The 22,088-nt window shown below is 38.3% G+C and overlaps 1 long non-coding RNA gene across 1 annotated transcript in view; it reads left to right on the forward strand.

Annotated features, from left to right (window-relative positions):
- Positions 1-359: 359 nt before the first annotated feature.
- The window catches only part of LINC02778 (long intergenic non-protein coding RNA 2778), a 144,047-nt gene continuing 122,318 nt past the window's right edge, over positions 360-22,088 (forward strand). The window contains exon 1 of the long non-coding RNA XR_947430.2: positions 360-508. This is a non-coding gene — a long non-coding RNA (long intergenic non-protein coding RNA 2778). The remainder of the gene's footprint in view (positions 509-22,088) is intronic.

The following is a 22,088-nucleotide window of genomic DNA, read 5'->3' on the forward strand; positions in this document are numbered from 1 at the left end:
AGTGTGGGAATTGATAAGAAGCAATAGTGAGTTTTTAGAGTAATTTTTAATAGTATTTGTGAAAGTTGAGAGCATAACTTTAACATATCAGAGATAATCACGGAAAGGATTCAGATAATATTCTTTTTGTTATAAGATGGGAGAAGGGAACAGCAGGGAGCAATACATAGAATTGTACAGGTAGGGAAAACTACTGTGGCTGAAAAAGTTGGGCTTCTCAGGAATAAAAATTGTTTCCTTTTTTTAAAAAATCATTTCCTGATTGTTCTTGTCTTAATCATTTACTCATTCAGAATCATTTATCAATGTCTTTCTTTATGCTTCAGTTACTGTGATAGATGCTGAAGATACGAGTTAAATTTAACATAGCCCTGTCCTTAGGGAGCTCTGAATTTGGTAAAGAAGCAAAACAAGTCAATCAGCCATCACGAAGTGCTGCTGTCAGCAAGGTCTCCATGGCGTGTGGGAGGACACAAAGGAGAGGCATCTAAATTAAGCTGGAGTCAAGGTAGGCTTCCCAGAAGAGGACACCGTGGAGCTGACTTTTAAATTTACATTTGAGTTAACTGAATGAATGAAGCGAGACAGTTTTCTAGGCAGGGGAGTGGCATGTGTACTGGAATATTGCAATTACTGGCTTGGGTAGGGGGCAGTGCTGCGGAGACACACTCCTGTGGATTAAGGAAAAAGGAAGGCAGAGGACAGAAAGAAAGTAAGGAATGAAGGGCCTTGTCGGTTAAAGTAAGAAGTCTGAGCTTTATCCTGAAAGCTATGGGCAGCCATGGTCATTGGAAAATTTGGATCTTCCTGGGTGCAAGGTACTTTTCACTTAATGATTAGTGATTTTGATCTTTGTTAAAGAGTAATTTGAATACTTTTCTTTAGTTCTGACAATTCTTTTAGTAACAATTAGTTATGATTAGTAACAATTATTTTCATGCCAGATTGGCAGGGAGCTCTTCCTCTTTGGTGCATCATGGACTAGAGCAGTCCTCAGCTCCATCCTCATCATTTTATAGAAAAGTCTCAGAGACAGTAGGTGACTTCACCAAAGCCACACAGCTACTGAGTAGCAGATCCAGGATTTTAATCTTATTTGGGAAACACTATAATATGGTAAAAAGAACAGAAACCTGTATCGGCTGATATAAATTCAAATTTCAACTCTGAAACACTTTTGTGACCTTAGGAAAGTCATGTAACCTTTCTAAGATCCACTCTCTTCTTTATAAAATAGTCATACTAATGATGGTCTTGATATACTGATTTGGTTTTGAAATAATGTGAAACACCTCCAGATTACAGTGGGTACTCAGTCAGTACTTGTTGCTTCTGATACTCAAGCACACTGATTTCTAGATTGAGGTTGTTTTCCAAAAACCTTTTTGGAAGGATGGTGTCCTGATGGTAGTCCTCTCTCTGTCTTTTCTTTTGGCCCACAGTATTCCTGTGCCTTCTGGACTGACGGTCCAGTGGTATCCAAAGGGATACTTTGAGCTGGAGGTCATTTAGGTCTGTATAGGGTCCCTAAGAAGTGTCAGTGTAGCAGACCCTGGGAGAGAATGCAGTGGCAGAAAAATGTATTTCTCATTGAAACCTCTGGGTAAGAACATTTTAAAGCTTAATACAACCAGGATCTGTCAGTGTGCCCACAGATTGAGGCCTGAAATAATCTGGAACCCGAATACTACTCATTAATGATGAAAGTGCTATGGGAAAGTGCTATGGGGGTGGAGGGAGGGAAGCAGTAGCTTAAATATGGACATACATGGAGGCAGAGTCATATTTTCAAAATCATTTTTTTTCTTGAGATCAACCCATCCAAGCAAAGTCCTTATAAAGCTAACCAAGGATAACAGCTCTATCAATCAAATCTTTTGCCTTCACAGTTGAGTGATATCTTTTTCTTCCCTTCATAACCAAAACCGAGAGGCCAGTTTAATTTCCCAGTTGGAGGCAAAAGAGTCTTTTCTTGACCCTGGCTCTTCATCTCCACTGAATAGCTCACCCTGCTTTAATGTTATGCTTTCTTATTTATATTATTAGTATTGAAAATTATTCCCGGGGGAGAAGAATATAATGATAAGGTATCAGGCTCTTTATTCAAAGAACTAATCAGATTTTAGAAAGACACAACAATGCACTGTAGGGTTTCTAAACAGGCTATAATGACCTGTTCCCCACAATGGTTAAGGAAGTATATGTTTAGCAGAGAATGAGTTTTCCGGGTTTTTGAGGGAGGGCTCAGAGAAGGAGGTGGGAAACCCCATTGTGCAGCAGCAGGAGAGATACCAGGCCTATAGTAAGAATATTCTCTTTCGAAAAATTGAACGATAATCCTAATAGTTGCAATGTATTAATTCTTCAGTCTCTTTCTAGGAAAAAAAATGAAGTTATTGTGAAAGAGATCTGCCTCAGAGAGGCTACCTTGCAAGACAGGTTGATTATGGCTAATGAATTACACATGGCTTATTGCATTTCACAAAGACCAAACCACATAATAATATTCTCATGAGATCACGTCAGAATCAGCCGCATCCTGGGCTCCTGCCTATTGTGGTCAGAAAACCCGATAGAGACATGCAGGTTTTCCTATCTAATATTACTCTTAGTATTTAAGGAGTGCTAAAACGTAGGTGAATTGAGCTTTCTGAAGAAATACCGTAACCTCAGGGCTTGAGGGGGATCTAAGTAAGTATTTAATCTAGGGCCTTAATGTTATAGCTGAAGAATAAGAGGCTGATGATGGCATGTGGCTTGCTGAAAATCACGAAGGTGGTTAGGGCCAGTGACGGACTAAGAGACCAGGTCTTCCAAACTGCAGTTCCAGCCTCTTTCTTGCATTACATTTTTGAAAATTTCTAAAGTATTCTAGCTTTATTGATAAGAGCATGATTTTGAGGTGTGGAGATAGAGAAGAAATTTAATACTTGTCGAACAGTTCATAAATACTTAGAGTGGTGCTGGGGGGCTCTTATATTTATTATCTCATTTAATCTACAATAATCCTGTAAAGTCAGTATTATGTTCCCTCTATAGATGCAGAAACTGAAGCTAATGTGGTAAAGGTACCAAATCTGGTATAGTGGAACTGGATTCAGCTCCAAGGTCAATTAGGTACCCAAACTGCTACAAACCACTACTTAGCAGGCAGTATGAATTTATGAATTTATTCTCAGAGTTGAAATTAAAATGAAAGGTAACCAACTCCAACCTTTGATTTGACGCGGGAAGTTTCTTTATAGAATTCCTGACAGATGTTCACCAGTTTCTACTTTAGTACCTTCAGCCATAAAGAACTCACTGCCTCACAAATATTTAACCCTTGTAGTTACATGGTGTAAAACATTTCCTGTATTTGATTTCTTATTTTATCTTAAACCCATATCCTCCAGATCATTCTCTGATGTTACATTTTGCATGCTGTACTCAATCATTCATTTATTATTTCAGCAATATTTATTGTCTGTTACATGTCAGGTACAATGCTCTATTCTGAGAGCACAATGATGAATAAGGCAAATATTCCTATCTTCATGAAGTTTGCATTGTTTAAGCAAGGATTTGGGTGTAATTCGTATTTGAGTAACTGGAAGAGGAAACATTAATAACAGCACATAGAATTAAAAAAAAAATTCCAGGCTCTAAAATATGGCTTACTCAACTCTATAATAAAATGTTTATGTAGAACGCCACTGGCATGTCTTTGAGGATCACTTAGAAAATGAAATATGGGGAGACTTTTTCCTCTGAGAAAGCAATAAAAAAATTTGCCTGAAGCATCTAAATGGTGCCTCAGAGATCGGGCTGAGTTATGGCTGATGACATAAAGGAATCCCGGGCAAACAGGGCTGGGTGTTTGGCAGCAGGCAAACTGCTAAATGCTGGACTTTCCATTGTGCAAATACTGGCTCCAGGACTTGATGTGAACAGGGCCCTGGCCTCATCCTAAAGTAGCAGCTTCTTAGGCTGGTTTTTAGCGGGCTCACCATGGAAATCATAGGAAGCAGGCCTGGGGAAATCTGGAAGGGAGGCTTCTTGCCTTCACCATGGTAAGACTGAACAATCTCAAGCACCTATTAAAGACTGGACCCTTTCTATAATTACCTCAAGTAATCCTCACAGCAGTGCCCTGAGGGAAGACTTTTTTATTCCTGTATTATAGAGGAAGTAGACCAAGGCTCTTGAAGGTTAAGTTCCCTATCCAAGTTCATGGCTAATAAGTAAAGGAGTATAATTCCCACCTGTGTGTATCTGACTTCCAATCCTATGCTTTTTGGATTATAATTCTGTGAAGGCAATGGAGAGAGTCCTTGCAACTTTGAGTGAAGATTTCAAAAAGGAGTTTGAAGATAGAGAATTGTAGTTTTAGGACCCTTTATTTGCATGGGACCAATTTTAGGTCTAGGGAGGAGCCTTAGAAATAAGGCCATATATTTTTAAGCATTGCAACAGTAAGATATTTGTATATTCCTTTTTTTAAAGAAAACCTCTAAAATTTTGAAAGCACTTGGACCCATAAAACCTGTGGCAAACCATATTTAGAAAACAGTTGTTGTTCACTCAATAATTATTTTTTTTTTTTGGAGACAAAGTCTTGCCCTGTTGCCCAGGCTGCACTGGAGGGGTGCTGTCATGGCTTACTGCAGCCTCAGCCTCCTGGGTTCAAGAGATTTTCCTTTCTTAGCTTCCTGAGTAGCTAGAACTATAGCCATGTGCCAACACACCCAGCCAATTTTTTATTTTTTGGGAGTTGAGTTGCTATGTTGCCCAAGATAGTCTTGTACTCCTGAACTCAAGTGATCCGCCTGTCTTGGCCCTCAAAGTGTTGGGATTACAGGTGTAAGCCACCACACCTGGCCTCAACAAATATTTCTTAAATGCCTAATATATGCCAGGCCTTGTCTTAAGTGCTGAGGATTCAGCAACAAAGAACACAGAACAGAGAGTACTGTTCTTATGGAGTTAATAGTCTAGAGACAACGTGTGTTGGCAGAGTCCTGGCATGAAAGTCATGCCACACTAAAACTGGAGACAGGGATAGTTGTGTAACATAACTACCCGATGGAGGATTAGACCTTTGGTTGATAGCAACTAACCAACCCTCAATCCTACCAGTAGACAGAAGAGCAATAAACACTCAGCCTCACCTTGCTCTTGCTCTCGCTCTCTAACTTCCTGCTGGTGGTCCTTTTTGGCCAAATTGAACTGGAAGTTAGAGGACAGGCTAGCCCACTAACAGTTTGTGCAGGTCAGGCTTCTGGACTACATAGTTCAAAAGGGTGGAGAGTGACTATGGAGGAGAAACAAATGGCATCCAACACATATGTGTGAAGTTCAACCTTCAGAACTCAGTAAGAATGTGGTCTGGGGAAAACAGTTGCGTAAAGCAGAATGCCAATTCTGGCATTGATACTTCTCCTGAAAATAATAATAATAACAGCAAGAGAAAACATTTATTGAAAACATACTCTATTGTTGACATGAGCTGAGAGTCTGTAGCATATGATATCCCATAAGCTCTCTCCTTCAAGCATTATTCTAAAGGGCTCTAGAAGCTGGCCATTTGCCAAATTTTAAACATTTTAAACCAATATATGAAGAGTTAAACTGCCTGAGGGACCCTTTCACATCTTTCTATGTTTTATATATTAGAGTCTATGAATAAAAAGAAGAAGAAAAGCCACTGGGTAACTATACATGAAACATTCACATTCAACCAGCCATAGTGAGCACAATAAAAGATTGAGAAGCACTAATTACTAAATCAAAATGTATTCTTGTTGGCAAAATGCCTTAGTAACTCCCTGATTTTCTCTCAGATTAGGCACTTGCTAAAGGTCCATGGGACCTGGGAGGCAGAGGGTGAAAGACACAGGGCATGGAATAGCTCCCATTTCCTTCTTAAAATATTCTTAAGTAGAAAGGCTATTCCCAAAGAGGTGCCACAGGGACTAACCCATTTATGAGAATGAAGTGATTTGTCCACCTGAGAGACAAGTTTCCAGTCACTCAGGCCAATATCAGATTCGATACGCAAATGAGTTCTTTCAGCGTTTCTCAAAGGTACCCGGATTCAGTTTGGAAGAGTTCACAAATTTCAACAGTTAACAATTTTTTCCCACCCATGGCATTACCCATACTTAATAACCAGAAAGTCTAATTTTTGTTGAAGTAAATGAAGTGCCTGAAAGTACCAGGGAAATCTAGACTCCAAATTACTCTTGTATTAAAGGACCTTTAAGCCGTAAGTTGAGCTTACAAATTCTTCATTAAACCTCTTTCTTTGACAAATTAGAAAACTGTGACCTACAAAAGGAAAGTGGTTGGTTCCAGGTCACACCATGAGCTATTAGCAGAGCTGAGATTAGTACTCTTTGTGTCCTTGTCTCCTGCCCTGTGGTCCTTGTAGTTACATCATACTAGCTCTCAGAGACATAGACTAAGAGACCAGCAGCCTGAGGGCCCCTGAAAGCTACTCATTCCATGGGAGAAAGAATATTGATCACTTCTGTAATAATAGGGAAAAATCCAGTGTCAAATAATTCAATTGGAGGAAATGTGTGGGAGAAAGGAATGCTACTAAAATATTCCTGTCTGTCTACACTAAAAACAGGAGTTTAGTCTGGGCAATCTTCTTTGATATCCCCAGGTCCTTACCTTCATGGAATGTGTGAAGGAGCAGTATTTGCTTCCAAGACTGGCTATCATAGGGCAAATGCTCTTACTTTACAGCTATGTTAAGAAGTTTAGTCAGGAGATCATACTTTACAACTCTAGATTAAATGAGAACTATATGGATGTGATTTAGGCTCTGATAATTGCTGGACAACTTCAATCATTAAGAGCTAGTCAACTAATTCAAACAATTGATGTTTTAGTCCTTTTCCTGAGCAGGCATGGAAGACTCGAGAGACATCTGGGTTCAGACTCCCAGCTTTCCCAAGACTTCACTGCGTGCATTTAGCTTTGGGTAATGCAACAAGAAAATTCACCTGTGTCCCATTTTAACTACCATCTTCCCACTTAATCAGGCCTGGTTCCACTGAGATTACCCAAGCTGTGATCCTGTCATACCTTGCTTACCAAGAAGCCATCAACCCCACTAACTGTTATCTGCTTAGCATTACTTCCCACCTGAAGCACAAATATTATGGGCTTCTTGTCTGATGTCACCAAGGATGAGAAGCACTTAATTTCTTTTGTTGATGGCTAATATGTTGTTTCTCTTTACATCTTTATTGTTTTTATTGGCCAGAGAGCCATTTTTCATCCCATGGAGTTCTCTAAGGACTTCCCTGACACTCATTCTTCCAGCAATCAACTCTAAAAATCTACTCATTTGGTTGGTGTAGCAAAGTCGACTTATATTGAACATGTTGAATCTGGATAAAGAATTCTTAGTATGCTTTCATTATTTTGAGCCCATGCCAGTTATCTGTTCATTTTCAATTCTGTCCCATGATGTACAGAATCATTCCGATTTATGCTCTGGACTGAGAGCCTTGATGGCTTTCAAAGCACAGGTTTACTTTTCTACGGCTATTAACCACGAATTAAAACATATTATATAGGATGGTGGCAAGAAAAAAATGCTGTTTATAGGGAAATTTGGCCCATGCTAGGTAGAATATGAATCCAGTGTGATTGATTTGTTAAATAAGCAAAAAAATAAAGCAATCTGGTATTTGTCCCTTTACTTATAAGGAAAACAAATCTCCCTTGGAAACCTATGAATAGTGACATGATACAATATTATAGACCCTTCAAAGACACTCTGAATACAATTCAGCTATGCCCAACCCATGTCTTAAACTCACGACATTTAGAAGTCTCATTCTTTAGCCATGGATTTATACAATTTTCAATGTTTATATTTCTTACAGTGAAGAAGAGCTATGAGAAAGATTGGGAAGGCCTATTAAAACATCATTTAATAAATAAACATAATTTGTACTGGATGTACAATTAAGACTTCAAGAGGGGTGAACCAAGAAAAATTAGATTTTCTTAATTCCTAAGATATTGAAAAGTATCTCAGGGTTTTTTGAATTGATCAATTGACTAATTGTGTCATTTAATAAATAGCAATTGAAAGCTTACCAAGTTTGATATAGTATATCCATTGATGACTGAAACACACAGTTCATGCTGTTACAGAATATACTACACATTGGCTTTTGTATAATATTGTAGTAATAGCATAGATGTACATATCCACGATAGAACTATATGAGTTTTTGGCCATGTTTTAGGTAAAAATATAACAATCTTCTTATGGGCCCAAAGGCCACTCAAGAGTGGGTACCCCCAACATTGTCCCTTTGCCTCAGCCTTATATCAAGTGCCTGCTTTGCTTTAAAAGAATAAACAAAATTTAAAAACTATTTAAGTAAATGATATTTTAAAATTTTTGTAAATTGAATTTCATGTCATTGCCACTCATTTGTTTTTACAATTCTGTAAAATATCCTATGATTTTTCTTTCTTTTTTATTTTTTGAGATGGAGTCTTGCTCTGTCACCCAGGAGTGCAGTGGCATGATCTCACCTCACTGCAAGCTCTGCCTCCCAGGTTCATGCCATTCTCCTGCCTCAGCCTCCTGAGTAGCTGGGACTACAGGAGCCCACCACCACGTCCGGCTAATTTTTTGTATTTTTAGTAGAGACAGGGTTTCACTGTGTTAGCCAGGATGGTCTTGATCTCCTGACCTCGTGATCTGCCCGCCTCAGCCTCCCAAAGTGCTGGGATTACAGGTGTGGGCCACTGCGCCTGGCCTATGATTTTTCTTTTTTGATTTTAAAAATAATCATGGATAGCTAAACATATTTTCATGATAATCAAATGAAAACTCCCAAGAGTTCTCTATGGATTTCTGGTGACATTGTTTCTTTCTTCCCCAGTCTTTTCCCTAGATTATAAATCATCTACAATACTTCAGGTAAAAGTTAGTTGCTATATCTGTCTATTTTATATTATGCTTTCTTATTGATGTATATGACTTCTCAACATTTGGTCACTTTCCAGGTTAGATATATTTACAAAGATGATGCTGTAGTTGTATTGATTGTAGGAGTTCATCTAGTGCAATAGGGCAAACCAAGAGCAATGACAAATGAAAGATAAAAGGGAGCTAGTCAGCTTTCTTCTAATTTTTTTTTTGTGGATTTCTCTGAGGTGAAGATTTTCTTTATTAATCTTTGAAAGAAGTCCCAAAGGCCAAGGAAACTCATCTGACTATAAGCTGCTGTGTGTTTCCCTACCATGTTGAGAAAGGGTGGCTGGTTGATCTAATACATTACATTGCTTCAGCATATTTTTTTTATTTATTTCATCCTTTATTCCCCATTATCATATCTGTAGGCTTGCTTTTTTAAAATAAAGTATCATCTCTTCAAAGAAAAAAGAAAAATGCTTGAGGCATCACATTACCTGACTTCAAATTTTACTACAAGGCTATAGTAACCAAAACACCATGGTACTGCTATAAAAATTGTCACATATATAAATGGAACAGAATAGAGAACCCAGAAATAAGGGGACATACCAACAACCAATTTTTGAAAAAATCAACAAAAATATACATTGGGAAAAGGACACTCAATTCAATAAGTGGTGATGGAAAAATTGAACTGCCTCATGCAGAAGAATAAAACTGGATCCATACCCCTTACCATATACAAAAACTAACCAAGATAGATTAAAGACCTAAATGTAAGACCTGGAAGCTACAAAAATCCTAGAAGAAAATCTAGGGAAAACTATTGTGGACACTGGCCTAGGGAAGGTATTTATGAACAAGTCCTCCAAAGCAAACCCAGCGAAACCAAAAGTAGACAAATGGGACTTCATTAAATGAAAGCTTCTGCACAGCAAAAGAAGTCATCAACTGAGTAAATTGACAACCTACAGAATGGGGATAAGTATTCACAAATCATGTGTGTGACGAAGGGCTAATATCCAGAATGTAAAAAAAACTCAAACAACTCAACAACAACAACAACAAAATAACCTCATTAAAAAGTAGGCAAAGAACATGGCAGACATTTTTCAAAAGAAGACATACAAGCAACCAACAAATATATGAAAAAATGCTCAACATCACTAATTATTAGAGAAATACAAATTAAAACCACAATGAGATACCCTCCTATAGCAGTCAAAATGGCTATTAAAAAGTAAAAAAAAAAAAAAAAAAAAAAAAAAAAAAAAAAAAACAGATGTTGGTGAGATTAGGGAGAAAAGGAAACCCTTATACACTGTTGGTGGGACTGTAAATTAGTACAAACTCTATGGAAAACGGTATGGAGATCTCTCAAATAATGAAAAATAGAACTACTATTTATCCAACAATCTGACTACTTAGTATGTACTCAAAGGGAAATAAATCATTATATCTAAAGGATATCTGTGCTCATGTTTATCAAAGCACCTATAAACAATAGCAAAGATATGAATTCAATCTGTGTCCATTAGTGGAGGATTGGGTAAAGAAAAGATTATATATATACGTAGTGGAGAACTGGAAAAAGAAAAGGTTTTTTTTATATATATATATATGCATATACATATGTATATTATATATATGTATATATGTGTGTGCATATATGTCTGCATATATACATACCATGGCATACTACGTAGCCATAAAAAATAATGAAATCATGTATTTTGCAGTGACGTGGATGGAAATGGAAGTCATTATCTTAAGTGAAATAACTCAGAGACAGAAAGTGAAATACTACATGTTCTCATTTATGAGTAGGAGCTAGACAATAGGTACACATGGTCATGCAGAGTGGAATAATAGACTTTGGAGAGCGTGGAGGTGGGAAGATGGTTGAGGGTGAAAGTTGAAAAATTATCTATTGGATACAATGTTCCCCATTTGGTTAATGGATACACCAAAAGCCCAGACTTTACCACTATGCAATATGTGCATTAAGAAATCTGCACTTATAACCAATAAATATATAAAAATAAAAAGTAAATACATTTGATTGAGTATAAACCATAAAAATTAAATAAAGTATTATCACTTGTCTCAGCCTCTGTTTTATAGAGATTTAGCTAAATCTAGAAATTAGTCTAGAAAACAAGATTTTAAAACTATATTGCCTTCTTGTCTAAAAAAAGTAAGAACCCATTGCTGATAGTAAGATATTGTGCCTTGAAATTATTCAAGTTTTTACTTGTAGAAAATTGGGGTAGTACAGTTTAAGAGTAAGACATTGGAAGACGAAGAAGTTGTAGTCCTTATTTGGTATGAGAACAAAATTTTTTATAAAGGTTGTACACTGGTGTGACTGCTTTTCATAGCACCAGAGACCTACTTTAAAAAAATTAAAGACACAGGAGAGTTCATTTAAACTCAAGGAATAATCTGCAAACTAGAATGATTCTGTGACAACTTTAAAAAAGCACTCGTAGGGCACAACTGTGATGAAAATCAGGCACAGGAACTAATTTTAAAAGCGACTGAGCTACAAAGCAGATACCTCCATAATCTCAGGAGGTTTCCAACGCCAAAGTCAGGGTATCTTCTAAAAAGTAGCACCATGAGACCTGGGATTGTAAGAGTTGAATCAGCAAATGTGAGAATTTTGAGTCCCCAAATTCTCTTGACACTTCTGGCCAGTAAAATCAGCACCTTCATTTTCTCCAGAAGAGACCAGCCTCCCTTTTGCTAGAGATGATGTAATAATTTCACCTGAAGCATGTGCTTCATCAGATCATCCTTTTTTTTTTTTTTTTTTTTTTTTTGAGATGGAGTCTCGCTCTTTCACTCCGCCTCCTGGGTTTACTTACGCCATTCTCCTGCCTCAGCCTCCTGAGTAGCTGGGACTACAGGCACCCGCCACCATGCCTGGCTAATTTTTTGTATTTTTAGTAGAGATGGGGTTTCACCGTGTTAGCCAGGATGGTCTCGATCTCCTGACCTCGTGATCCCCCCATCTTCAGCCTCCCAAAGTGCTGAGATTACAGGTGTGAGCCACTGCACCCGGCCCTCTTTTTTTTTTTCTTTTTATTTCAAGACTCAACCTTACTACCTCTCATTATCTCTTGGTTGATAGAGTCAGGTGTCAGTCAATGCTGAAAGAAAAGCACAAGTCTAGATCTGAAAAAAAATCCTTAAACCAAAGGAATTCTATGATTTCTCTAATGTGTATCATTAAGAACAGGATGGTGGTATAATTGTCAGAATGTACAAAACTCTATGTCTCACATTTAATGCCACCAGAGAATATCCAATGCAAGGGGACAGTATTATCTGTGCTTAGGATGTCAATCATATTCTTTTCTTGGCACCAGTATTTGTGCAATAGAGTGGCCATGGTGGCATGTACATAGATTATATATGGACTTAACAACATAAGCTCTCCCTCACCGAGACCGTTTTAGTCGTTGTCACTGCTAAATGCAAATCCAGTAGCAGCAAATACCAGGGCACAATCACTTAGGAAGACCAGGCAGCCATCTGGTGGCAGATCACAACATGAAAATCCTTTTTACTTTGGAATAGGAAGTCATTCAAGCCATGTATCTTTCCTGGAATTGACACATACTCCAGATATAGGTTTGACTACTTTCCTATGAAGTCTTTTCCATCACTACCATCTGAAAGGTCACAGAAAGTTTTATCCATTCATGTGGGTCTCACACAAAATTGCCTCTGATTGAGAGGCCCACTTTAAAGCAAAGGAGGCCCGACAATGGGCTCATGATTATGGGTTTAGTGTTCTTACTATGTACCCTATCACCTAGAAATAGTCAGCCTCATAGAAGGGTGGGATGGCCTTTGAAGGATCTGCTTAGATACAGGCTGTGGGACAATGCTTACGGGGTGGAATGCTGCCCTTCAGGATAAGGCATATATTTTAAACTGATAGTTCTTTGTCTTGTTTAATTAAAATCTATGGCTCTGGGAAACAAGGGATGAAATTGAGAGTTACCGCTTGGATTTATGCTCAGAGATCTAGTTGTGGAATCTGTGTTTTCATTTCCTTCATCTTTGGTTCTGCTAGGATTCAGATCCTAGTTCTGTGGTGAGGGCAAACTCATTTCCAGGAATACAGTAAGTTCTACTAAACTGGGTGCTGTGACTACCATCTAATTACTTTTAGCTCGTCGTGTATTGGTAGAGCAATAGGCCAGGGAGAGCATTGCTATAGTGGCTGTGGTAACTTACCCTGTCACTGTGAGGAGAAAGGGTGACCACCATACTATGCAGGCCAATCTGGAATCCGTGGAAATCATTGGGGTGTCTCTTCATACTTGCATGTGTGGTAATGACTATCTATGAGCAACTTCAGCAAACATACTTGAAAAAGAATATAGCAACTAAACACTCAGGCCTTTGGGATTAAGGTCGAGGTCACCTCACCAGGCAAGCAGCTCAGACCAGCTAACATGCTAGACAAGGATGAGGGGAAACTAGAATGGATAGTGGAGATAGCAGTGGAGAAATATCAGCTGTGCCCTCTAGACAAACTATACTGTAGTGGTATTGTAGCTTGTTCTACAAACTCCCTTGCTTTAGTCTTCCAGGAGATCACAACTGGCCACCACATTGAGTGTGCATTGTTGGACTTCCACCTCTCCTCCAAGAGAAAGAGTGAGAACACCTTTATTTTAAAATATGGAATTATTATGTATACCTGGAGCTTCATATTAATAAGAAAGGACAAATAGGTCTGAGTAGTGCAAGAGGTTGGTGGTACCCACACTGAACCCTCCTTTGGAGCTCATCATTTCTCCGGATTTATCAGTCCCTGTTTGAACTTTGTCAGTTCATCCCTGTGGTTTTGTTCCTTTCACTAGATCTTTGTGAATCCATCTCAGATGCACTTCACAAGCTCACACTGTGGCTGCAAGGAGAGACAGAAGTTAAATCTCTGGTTAGCGCACCCTAATAATCAGTACCTAAATATAACCCCTTAACTCATAACTATGTAACCTTGGTATTTTTCTCTTGGTTATAAAACAAATCTTTTTTTTCTTTATCAATTTTTATTTTAAGTTCAGGGGTACGTGTGCAGGTTTGTAACCTGGGTATATTGTGTGATGCTGAGGTTTGAGATATGTATGATCCCATCACCCGGATACTGAACATAGTACCCAACAGTTAGTTTTTCAACCCTTCTACCCCTCCCTCCCTTCCCTCTCTAGTAGTCCTTAATGTCTATTGTTGCCATCTTTATGTCCATGAGTACCAGATGTTTAGCTCCCACTGATAAATAAGAATGTGTGGTATTTGGTTTTCTGTTCCTGTGTTAATTCGCTTAGGAGTTACTTTGGTCTTAAAGGATATTTAGAAATAAAACAGCACAACAGGAAAAATGACACAGAATACACTGATTTGACTAGTGGTGGGTTACTAAATATTTTGTTAATCTATTATTATGTACCAGGCATTGAGTTATATAAAAATATACAATTAGGCAGAGTTTCCACACCCAGGAAGGTAACAATAGATTTGCAGAGGTGATAAGAAAAATGATGGCAATACAGGATAAGCTGAAAAGATTCACAGTCTCTTAAACAGCTGAGAACAAGATGCTTTGGAAGTTTTCAGGGTCTCAGAAAAGGATACGGAGGAGAGCTATTTAGAAAACTGGCAGCTGTAAATTTCCATTTAATTGTTGGATATATGACAGATGACAAGAAATCCTGAGGTAGACAGAAAGTTCCTACTGGCTAAAGTATTCCACCAGGATGTGCCCTTCCACTTTGGAGTGTTATGGGATCCTTCTGTTCTTTCAAGTTAGAATGACCACTTTCCGTATGCTCCTGCAGGGACGCTTATTAAAATCTGAGGCCGATGTGTTGCCTCAAGTTGTGTGCAGTGGTGAGCAGGGGACAGCATAGGCCAGCAGCTCTGTAGATAGCAGTGCCCTTTGATTCAGTTGAAGAGACCTCTTTATCCTCAGTTTTGAATCACAATTAGCACCAGTTGTTGGTAGCCATTTCATTTTAAGTTTCATTTTGTGGGCACCAACGTGGAGCTTTCATTCTGGCAGTCTGAAGTTTATATGACACTCAACAAGTCTACAAAAATTATAGGAGGGAGTGTGGTGAGGAACGTATCTTTTAACTTTTACTTCTCTTCCACCACTTTCTCATCATCATATGTATTAGATAATATTTGTTACTGGCATCAGTCCTTGTCTAGCCCAGCCAACCCGTGGAGAGAATGAAGGCACCTCATGAAACTGGAAAAGACAGAAACAATAAAAGATAGAAATCTACTCTTGGCTGTTTTAGGAACTTTGTGGATTGTAGGAAAGCTACTAGGATATTGATGCCTGCTTTGAGGCCACGTGGCTGCCAGTGAAATACCAGGCTTCAGTTTCAGGTTTAGAACATCTGTGAAAGGCACAATTCTAAGAATGATTTCCAATGAGCTGCTTCCTCGTCTACCCTTCCCACTGAGTGTTGATGGAACCTGTGGATATGATGACATATCACTCCTGTAATTATGATGTATTTTATGACAAAAGGGAGATTACGTGGGTGACTCCAATATAATCACATGAACCCTTTAAAAGCAAATATTTTTTTTTCTGGCTGCTATTAGAAGGAGAAGTTAGAAGATTAGAAAAGTATGAGAAAGATTCGATGCATTGTTACCAGCTTAAAGCTAGAGGGGGCCACGTGGCAAAGAATGTGAGTAATTTCTAGAAGCTGAGCAACCACAGCTGACAGCCAGCAAGGAAACAGGACTCAATCCTACAACCATGAGGAACTGACTTCTGCTAATAATGGGAATTAGTTTGGAAGAAGTCCCTGAGCCCTAGACGAGAACACAGCCAGCTGACACCTTAATTTCAGCCTAAGCAGGGAACCCTCAATACCAGACTTCAGCCCTACAAAGCTGAGAGATTAAAAAATGGGTACTGTGTTAAGCTGCTAAATTTGAGGTTTGTTTGTTTGTTTTCAGCAACAGAAAATGAATGAAATATCCAAGGGCGGAAATAGTTTTAACTGCACATTTACAGTCCAACATGAGTTCATTCCGAACATCATTTCTTACTTGCTAGGTAACTTTGGGATTAACTTCTCTAAATATTTATTTCATCGTCTATAAAAGGGATAAAATAATACCTGCCTGACTTCTAAGATTGTTGCCGCAGTTAAGTGATATACAGCTTATATGACACCTGACATAAAATAGATGTTATTTCCTATTCTCTAGTAAGACTGATCATGGCAAGTCACTCAGAAAAGATAGAAATAGTCCATAATAGATATTATGACTTGCAGGAATTAGAACCATAGACGTCTTTGGAAGGGGAGCAGGATGGAACTCAGGAGAGAAGCATCTGGGTACAAGTTAAGGAAGTACACCATGCTTCTGATGGTTTGGAACCAGAATAGATCCCAAGAGGTCCAGGATCACTGGTAAGACTTAGTGGCGAAAGCCATGAGTCATAGAGTCCCACACATTCTGCTCTAGATGTAATTGAGAAATCTACAGACTGGCAGGGTTGCCAACCTGCCTTTAGTGTTGATTAAAGGCTGAGAGATTTTGCCTGCTATGCTTTCCGAAGTGGAGTTTTGGTAGGCTTGATTCCAAAGGCATGAAGGGGATGCTTAGTGAATGAGAGATAATTCACATTTTCATATAGAACAGAGACAATTAAGGCTAATACGTATAATAACATTTCTCATGTATTTTGTTTCCTCTAACAGTTTGTTGGAGGAGGAATTGCAGTATACTTAAAAGAGAAAGGATTTTTACATTAGAAAAATCTGGCATTACCTATATCTTTGCAATTGGTTAATTGACCTTCAGTAAGCCCTTAGCTTCCTGTTGAACAAGAGTGTCTGTTTCTCAATGGGTAATAGGATGAAATGAGATAAACATAGGTAAGATGTCTAGAATCATGGTTTAGAATTGTTAAGTCCCAAGGCTACCATGCAATTCATATGTGCTTCAGTTTCCTTAGCTATAAAATGGACATAATAATAGTTCCTAGATCATTCTCTTTCTGTGAGAATAAAGTATATGAGGTACTTTGCATAGATCCTGGCCTGTTGTAACCAAGAATTAGAAGGGAACTATTATTTGCGGTAGTATGGGTGCCTAGCCTGCAGTACCTTTTAAATTGGTAGCTATTTTTCATTTGTTAAACTCTGTCTGGATTTCTGTATTTACTCAAGTAAATACTTAAAAAACAAGCCCAAAAGATGTTTGTATATTTCCTTTATGGACAGTTGGATGGGAAAAAAAAAACACTTGGTTCTAGTGCACACCTACACTGTAGGAAAATAAGTTAGTGGGAGAGGGCAGTGGTCTGAAATTTGGAATTACAAAATTCTTATAATCGTCAGAGATAAAACATTGCAGATCTGATTACTCCTCTGCAAAAACAAAACAAAACAAAACAAAACAAAACAAAAAACTTTCAAAGATTCACATTTCTACATTGCCCCTAAGAAAAAAGTCTTTTCAGTCATTTATTTATTCATTCATCTATGAAATATTAATTGAACCCTTAGTATGCACAGTAATTGTTCAAGGTACTGAATTACAACAGTGAACAAAGAAGATACAAAATTTCTGCCCTTCTAGACTACATTTTATTAAGGAGAGGCAGGAAATAGACAAGATAGTCAGATCAGGATAAGCGCAAAAGAGTAAAACAAGTTAAAAAGAAGGGCAAGAAATTTAAGGAAAGAGAATTATCTCCCATTTTAAATAGGATTGTTAATGCATGTCTCGTAAAGGAAGGGCCATGGAAGCAAAGGTTGGAAGGAGAAGAGGCAGTGAGCCAGATGAATACCTGGGGAAAGGACGTTCTATGAAGAGGGCATCTGGCTTAAAAGGCTCTGCGTGCTCTGGCTCTGGCTACACCAATCAGAACCATGCTCATTACAATACCAGGGACAGCCTTTAGCAATCCACCGAAGTCAGTATTTAAGCTATACCATACTTGATTCTCCAAGTTTAAATAGAGCCCAGCAAGCAATCTGGTCTGATAACATCTCAAAAGCCCATTTTGTTCGATATTACAATTAGTAGGTATTTATTAAATAGTTACTATTTGACAGGCAGTGTCATTAGTGCTGAGAACAACTCAGTGAATTAAATAGGTGAGGTCTTCTGTTCATAAAGAGCTGACATTCCAGTAGTAGGGACATATATTTAAACAAAATTATGGAAACTAGTTATGTTATGTATATTTTATCACAATACAAATATATTAAATACCTGACCTCAAAGGCAGACCTGTCTGTAACAACTTGAATTCTTCTGTTTACCTGAGTACTTTTTCCTTCTTCTCCTTCTCCTTCTTCTTCTTTTTCTTCTTTTTCTCTTCTTTATCTTCTTCTTTTTTTTCTTTTTTTGATACAGTGTCTCACTCTGTCTCCCAGGCTGGAGTGAAGTGGCGTGATCATAGCGAGCTCACTGCAGCCTCAAACTCCTTGGTGCGAGGGACCCTCCTGCCTCAGGTAATTTTTTGAAAAATTTTTTGGTAGAGACAGGATCTCTCTATGTTACCCAGGCTGGTCTTGAACTCCTGGCCTCAAGTGACCCTCCTGCCTCGGCTTCCCAATGTGTTGGGATTATAGGCCTGATGTCTTAAATGTCACGTCACACACTGAGGAGGCAGCAACAGTAGACTGCCCACTTTTTCTGCCCCTCCTGAAACCACTTCCTATTTCTCATGCCTTTGAAACTACAAAAATGGCATGGTTTCCTCCCTTCTCTCATTAAAAACATGTGTGCAGGACAAAACTGCACCACCCTGGCGCTGTACCATAAATAGTGAAAGCCAGAGGAAAATATGTCATTTAGTGGCTGCTTATGCTTCACGTCTCCTGCGGGCACCCAGAAGCCTCTCCCCAGCCTCGCTGGTTTTGTTTTTATTGAACTGATTTCTTTTATGGAATGTGTGCTTCTAATTCTTAATTTTAAGGTCAACATCTTTCCTGACTGGCACTGTAAATGTTTAACAAGTATGACTGAACCATTCTTGGTTTCCTACTTTTATTTTCCAGCATGTGTCAGAAAAGCAGGCCGGTAGATCAAACGCCCAGGTCGAATGCTTTGAAGTTAATGTCATAATAGATGTTATAGCACAAAGATCCAACACCTTCTTCCAAGAAGCTTGAACAGGAGCAGGCAAGAATATTAACCATTTAGAGACTGGACAGCAATGTCTCATTGATTCACATGTTCTAGAGCACCAGCTCCACCTGTTTATGCACCAGAACGGGGATGGGAAGAAACACAGCCTTTGGATGTTTGCAAATCCCGGTTTGTCCACTCTTCTAATCATTGGACAATGAGCAAAAAACTACATTTCACTGAACTACAATTTTCTGATCGTGAATATGGGGAGGGTTATTAAAAGAAGTAAAAAGTGTATATAAAACTCAACTAGCATAGCATAATAGCTCAATGAAATAATAAGCATGATAGCACAAAAAAGTTCAAGAAAAAAAAATTAATATAAGCCACAACAATAATCAGAAACTGCTCTTCAGAAAAGAAGGTGAAGCAGATGGCTGAAGTGGTGATTCAGCAATGTAGATCAGGCAAGGGATAGAGCTGGCCAAACACTTTAGAGCCTGCATCTTCCTTCTGTTAGCCACAAGGCTTGTTGCCAAAGCACTTAGAGAAAGTGGCCTCCCAAGTCAGGCTCCTTCTGGACTTATTTTCTGGTAAAGTTCTAGCTTTGGGATTTCATGTCACCTTTCTGCTAGCTGCCAATGGACTTCTCAGACTCAAGTAGGTGAATTCCCAAGGGCAGAAAATATTACAGACACACACTTGTTGCTTACTAGTATCGTAGAATTTTTAAATCTGGGAAATATTATGCAATCTTTTTGTTCAATTCTCTGATTTATAGTTTAGAGTGGAAAGAACTCCTTTTATTCCTGTGATAAAAATGCTGTATTTTAGTCATAAAAAATCTAACAAGAAAAAGCAGCATGATGAAGAAAATAAAAATCACTAAGAATTACATGAGAAAATAAGTGTTAATATTTTTGTAAAGATTATTTGAAATATTTAATGTCGTAACCATCACACTTTTTTTAAAAAAAAGGACTTATTGAATGGAATCAGAGAGCATCTTTATGTTTTAAAACTTTATTCACTGAGGGATATTCTTCTGTTCTCAAGAAACTTTAGATGAACTGTAACCCTTCTGATCAAAAGCACCGCAGATTTAAGATGAAAGTTAAGTCTCCCTCCTTGTCCTAGATTTAAGCATGTCTACTTGCAGTGGGAAAACCATGGGTCATGCTGAGAGTTCCTGTTCCTCTGTTGCTGGGGATTTCTTGATCAGGCCTCAGTCCCTAGGAATCAGGGTGTCTATTGTGACTTCTGAGTGCTGCAGACCTTTGCTCCTCTATGCAGTAGGAAGTCCTATTATGCAGAACCTAACACTATCTGTCCATGGACTTTCTCTCACATTCCATGGGAAATATATTCATTCATATTTTTTGCCTGAACAATTCTGGGAATGCAGGCCAATCCTGATGCAGCAGCAATGGTACATTCTCTAGATTTTTAAGGAAGAGCCGGACATACGTCTACTAAGTATTCCTAATTTTCAGAGACATATTCCAAGTTCTAGGAGCATATACATTAAAGGAAAACCCTTTCTCTTTACCAGAAGTGAGGGGACAATACCCCACTTCCTCCTTGGTGGTAAATGGGGTATAGAGATACTCATTGCACTGCTTGTTCATTTATTCAACACTGCATACCAAAGCAGCACAAAACCCAGAGGTTTGAGATCACAATTTATGATCTCATATGGCTCTGGAGCATTGATTGGGTTGAGGTGGTCATTTCTTATTTGAGGTGTCTTATGGGATCTTAGTCAAATAGTCATTGAAACTAGAGTCACCTGAAGCCTTCTTCAAACACTTAAAGTATCTGGAGTTGGGGGAGGATGGGCATTTTTCTCTCTCCACATTGCCTTTCCAACTGGCTTGCTTAGCCTTCTGCATTACATAATGGTCTCAGGGTAGTTGGACTTTCTTACATGGCAGCTGGCTTCCCCCAGAGGGAGTGTTTCAAGATAAGTATGTGTTTTGTTAAAACAGGTGTTTTTTGTTGTTGTTTTGTTTTGTTTTTCTTATGGCTCAGTACCAGCCTATGGTCAATTAAAAAAAATTCCAGGTGCACTAGAGAAGACTGTATCATTTGCAGTTGTTGGATGTTAATATGGTTTGGCTGTGTCCCCACCCAAATCTCATGTCAAATTGTGATTCCCAATATTGGGGGAGGGACCTGGTGGGAGGTGATTGGATCATGAGGGTGGATTTCCTCCATGCTGTTCTCATGATAGTGAGTGAGTTCTCATGAAATCTGGTTGTTTAAAAGCCTGTAACACTTCCCCCTTCACTCTCTATGTCCTGCTCTGCCATCGTAAGACGTGCTTGCTTCCCTTTCACCTTCCACCATGAGTGTAACTTTCCTGAGGCCTCCCAGCCATGCTTCCTTTACAGCATGCAGAACTGTGAGTCAATTAAACATCTTTTCTTCAAAAATTACCCGGTCTCAGGTAGTTCTTTATAGCAGTGTGAAAACAGACTAAAACAGATATAGTATACTATAGATATTAATAACTGTAATTGTGTTATTTATATTTTCTATAGCCTTGCTGATTTTTTTGTATCTTTTTTCTATACTTACTGAGAGGTATGTTAAACTCTTTAACTACAATTGAGGATTTGTCTTTTTCTGTGTTCTATTTTGTCGTATTTTGCTTTATATATTTTGAATCTATATTATTACATGTTTACAAATTCAGGGTGGTTATATCTTTCTGTGTACTGACCCCTTTATCATTATAAAAGTCTTTTTAGCTCTAGGAATCATTATTGTCTGATAGCTTGCTTTCTCTGACACAAGTATACCAGTTTCTTGTTTGTTATTGTTTATATATGTTTTTCCATTCTTTCAGTTCCCTTTTTTTTATATTTTATTTGAACAGTGTCTTTTGGAGACAGCATATAGTTGGGCAATTTTTTTTAGTTCAATCTGACAATATCTGCGTTCTAACTGGAATGTTTTGTCCATTTACATTTAAAATAATGTTAATGTAATTGGATTTGACTTTACT

Source organism: Homo sapiens, chromosome 1, assembly GCF_000001405.40.
Source record: "Homo sapiens chromosome 1, GRCh38.p14 Primary Assembly".
NCBI classification, from domain to species: Eukaryota; Metazoa; Chordata; class Mammalia; order Primates; family Hominidae; genus Homo; species Homo sapiens.